This window comes from Homo sapiens, chromosome 21, assembly GCF_000001405.40.
Source record: "Homo sapiens chromosome 21, GRCh38.p14 Primary Assembly".
In the NCBI taxonomy this organism is placed as follows: Eukaryota; Metazoa; Chordata; class Mammalia; order Primates; family Hominidae; genus Homo; species Homo sapiens.
The window spans coordinates 35,590,008-35,594,156 of NC_000021.9; the positions used below are offsets into that span (position 1 = coordinate 35,590,008).

General features: G+C 37.6%; 1 annotated feature.

Moving 5' to 3' along the window:
• Positions 2,847–3,402: an enhancer, noted in NCBI's record as "NANOG hESC enhancer chr21:36965152-36965707 (GRCh37/hg19 assembly coordinates)". NCBI's record gives its function as "activates a minimal SCP1, AML or CMV promoter by ChIP-STARR-seq in naive H9 embryonic stem cells {active_cell/tissue: H9 hESC(naive)}" and the evidence as "EXISTENCE:reporter gene assay evidence [ECO:0000049][PMID:30033119]".

A 4,149-nucleotide genomic window follows, 5' to 3' on the forward strand; every position in this document is an offset into this window, starting at 1 on the left:
TGATAGATGAGGAAACAGGGTTGGCTCCTTTGCAGACCTGGCATCTGACAGAAACCATGAGCATCCATCCAGGGCATTGAATGCTAACCTCATTCAAGCTTTCCAAGTCAAGGGCTGAAGAGCCATGAACCAACCCAACTGTTCACAAACAGTGCCCTTGTCCTGAAGATTATGCCGTGTGGTTTAAGCACAAGAAACTACTAGCAGCAGCATCTTTAAATATTTACAAGCCTCTAATATATGTATGTGTTTATGTTTTGGTCAGTTTGTCTAATTGGTGGGAGCTTGGTTTTTATAAATTCAGGATGCCTTCAATGCATGGGCTTTTTATTCACATCAAGAATTAGATATAGTCCCAGGTACTTGAGGGCTAGGGCAGGAGAATAGCCTGAACCCAGGAGCATGAGACTGCAGTGAGCTATGATCGTGCCACTGTTTGACAAAGTGAGACTCCAACTCTCTTAAGCACACATACACTGTGGAATACTATGCAGCCGTAAAAAAGGATGAGTTAATGTCCTTTGCAGGGACAAGGATGAAGCTGGAAACCATCATTCTTAGCAAACTAACACAAGAACAGAAAATCAAACACCACATGTTCTCATTCATAAGTGGGAGTTGAACAATAAGAACACATGGACACAGGGAGGGGAACGTCACACACTGGGGCATGTTGGGGGGTGGGGGGCTAGGGGAGGGATAGCATTAGAAGAAATACCTAATGTAGATGACAAGTCGATAGGTGCAGCAAACCACCATGGCACGTGTATACCTATGTAACAAACGTGCATGTTCTGCACATGTATCCCAGAACTTAAATAAAAATATATATATATAGAGAGAAATATAGATAGGCATTTTTCAGCTATAACCTTATCCAGCCTCTTTACCTAGTATGAATTATAATAATTATAGTAACCATTTCATTAATACTGAGCAGTAAGTGGAACAGATCCCACTAGAAAAAAACTAAAAGAGAAGAAGACCAAAATTATACATTATAATGGCATCATTTCAGGAGCATCTGTAAGGAATAAGCCATTCACTAATGAGCATAAACCATATTTATACATTAATTCTCATCTTCAATGCACTGTTCTATTTTTTCTTTCAATATTTTATTTTTCCCTGGTCTTCCTTTACTCCTCAGCAGGACTCACTGGAAAAGGCATGTTCTTTGCTAAAACAAGGTCAATAATATTGTCATTTTCAACTGTGCTATCATTTTCACAGGTCCAAGTTGAAATGAAATCAATTATGAGAACAAATAGCATAGTTCTATCACTAATGAATGGATTTAGCATTGTTTCCCATATTCCTACCACTTAAAATGGAAGAAACAGAGCAAATGTGGTGTACAGAAAGCTCAAATAGTCCATGCTAATGGTGGAAATGCTTAAGTATCATCTGTATACAGCTAATATAAACCAAAGTGGTTTATTGCCACGGTTTTGTGATTTATGACCCACATTATGACTTTATTTTGAAATGGTTGCATGAAATATTAATGTGTGGTGAAAGAACACACAACAAGGAGTAGAGATCACATTTTATCAGATGTACGGGTGCTCAGTGATTTCTTCCTCATAAGACACTGAGCTCCAATCTCAGGATCCTATTTGTTCCCTTACTGTAATCAGCCCCTCATAATCAAACTTTCCAAGGTGAGGCAGCTCTACTTTTGCTCCTAGATTATAGGTTATGTACCGTTAATTTTTAAAAGGATGGAATAGTTTATAACAAATGTGAATAATTTATAGCAAATGTTCTCAGCATTGATTAGTGTCCTTTTGAAAAAGAACGTCTTCTTGATATGCATCATTTCTCTAATGCCTTATGAAAAGTCAGAAAACCTGTTACTGCACTGCTTAATGGACAAATCAAGTTTAATTTTAATCATATATAATATGAAAGATAAGTCCCTATGTTTTTCCCTGTTTGGAATTTGCCAGGCATTAACACTAAGCATTAGCTCAAAGCAATCTAAAGAGAAGTTAACAATAGGAGAGTTGCCTCTCCTTTGAAATTTACATTTTATCCGGGTTCTACAACTCTTGGATCTATGGTTTCTACAGTTGTTTACTGTGCTGCCTCTTAGGTCATTCCTCACCCCACTTCGCAAAGCTCCAATCTGGGGCCTTGTTTAAGTAACAGATTCTACAACAACAACTTTACTGCACAGTAAATCAATTTACACTGAGTTCCTAACTTCATTTTAATTTGATCAACTATATCTGATGCATAAAAAACAGAATATCTTTTTGAATCATCATGAAAGTTGTTTGATTTCTATTGTATTGAAGTCCCCAATCATAATTTTATTCTACTCTTATGTATTTTTAAATGTCAATTGCTATAAATAAAAATAACATAAAATAATAGCTAATACTGCACTTTCTATGTGCATGATGTACACTGTCTAAGAGCTTTGCATATATTAACTTACTGTATTCTCTCAATAACCTGGAAATAAGTACTGTTCTAATGCTTATTATACAAAGAGGAAACTGACGCACAGAATTGGTAAGCAACTTGCCCTGGTAACACCACCAGTAGCTGCAGAGCTGGAATGAAGAACTGAGCTGGCTTGCCTTCAGAGTCCATGCTCTAACCACTATACTACCATTTCTATTGTCCTTTGCCCAGAAACATTTGGTTTCAAAGTTCTTTGTAAAAAAAAAAAACAGAAAATGATAAAGATCTTATGATTTGGGATTGCAGGATACAAACCTAACTTTACAAAGATCCAGTGTTAATAATAGATGTGTCCTTCAATATCTATGGTCATCCAAATGGCAGAATGGCTCCTTCCATTCTCTGCAAGGGCTCCCTGAAGCAAATCCCCCTCCAAAATCCTCCCAGAATAGTAAAATGCAAAGCAAAGAGTACTTTGGTCAAGAAGAGCTTGCATATAATTCCAAACTAAACCACTTCCTACCTGGGTAATCCAGGGACTGTTATTGAACCTCTCTGAGCCAAGATTTTTATTTCCAAACTGAGATAATAACACTCACCAGTAGTACAGTTGTAATCATTAGAGATAATGTTTGTAAAGTGTTTGGCATCAAGTAGGCTTTCACTATGATATATAATAGCTGTTACCACTGTTTTTGTTCTATCATTGTTATTCTTTCTGCAAGCCTATCCTCGGAATGAGTCACTGCATGAATGCAGGGAACGCAGCCTTTGGTAACATTAACCCTTAAGATCTTTAGCTAACTCCCCTTCCCCTTTCTAGGAGCACTCAAACTTTTCTTAGAATGTATTGAGTTAAATCCATATGCATTCTTAACCTCAAACAGCCAATGAGGAAATCTAGACTAGAGACACTGAAAATGCAGGGGAGGGTGTGACGGTTCCACATAAATATCACTGCTAAGGAAAAGTCCTTTCAGGGAAAACACCTCACTCTCACCTGTGTGGTTCGATTGTAAATACCTGACCTCCAGGATTCCTTGTCTGTTAATGATGAGTCTGTTCTTACTTGGGTAACGGCTTCACTGAAGAAACAGAACAAAAAGCAGGTAGGAAAGAACACAAGAATCCCTATGATTTGGGAAAAGATGACAAAGGGAAACAGACATGAGAGAGAAAGGAAGAAAGAAGAGAGAGGGAGAAAAACTGTCTTCCAGAGAGAAAGCAAATCGATAGTAGACACTCTGTGGGGAATAACTGTGGTAGAAATAGAATGGAAACTGAGCCAGGGTCATTTATTGTTTTGTGCATTCTGTTATAGGAAAGAGCATGAATAACAAAGAAATCTGTCCACAGACATGGAACACCCCCACGACAGAACAGGCCATTTCCAATGCTATGGGTTTGTTTTTTTTTTCTATTTTTACTTTCTAAAATGAAATAGCACAATACATTCTAATGGCTGCTTAGGTTTGTAGCTTAGTTGTCACTGGACAAGAGGAGGAGGTCTAACTGCTCCTCCCAACCTCACCGGAGGTGGATGAAAATGCAGCCCTTTCTCTGCCTAAAGGCATCATTCTCAAATATGTGATTTTTAAAGTTGCCTCTATCTCCTAAGATACACTCATGAGGTGAGAATTGTCCCTGCTTAGAGCAATTATCAAAATGCTGCTTAATTTTTTTCTTTATATTTATCATGTGTATTTATACCTTTCTTTTTACCCTCTTGTGTCA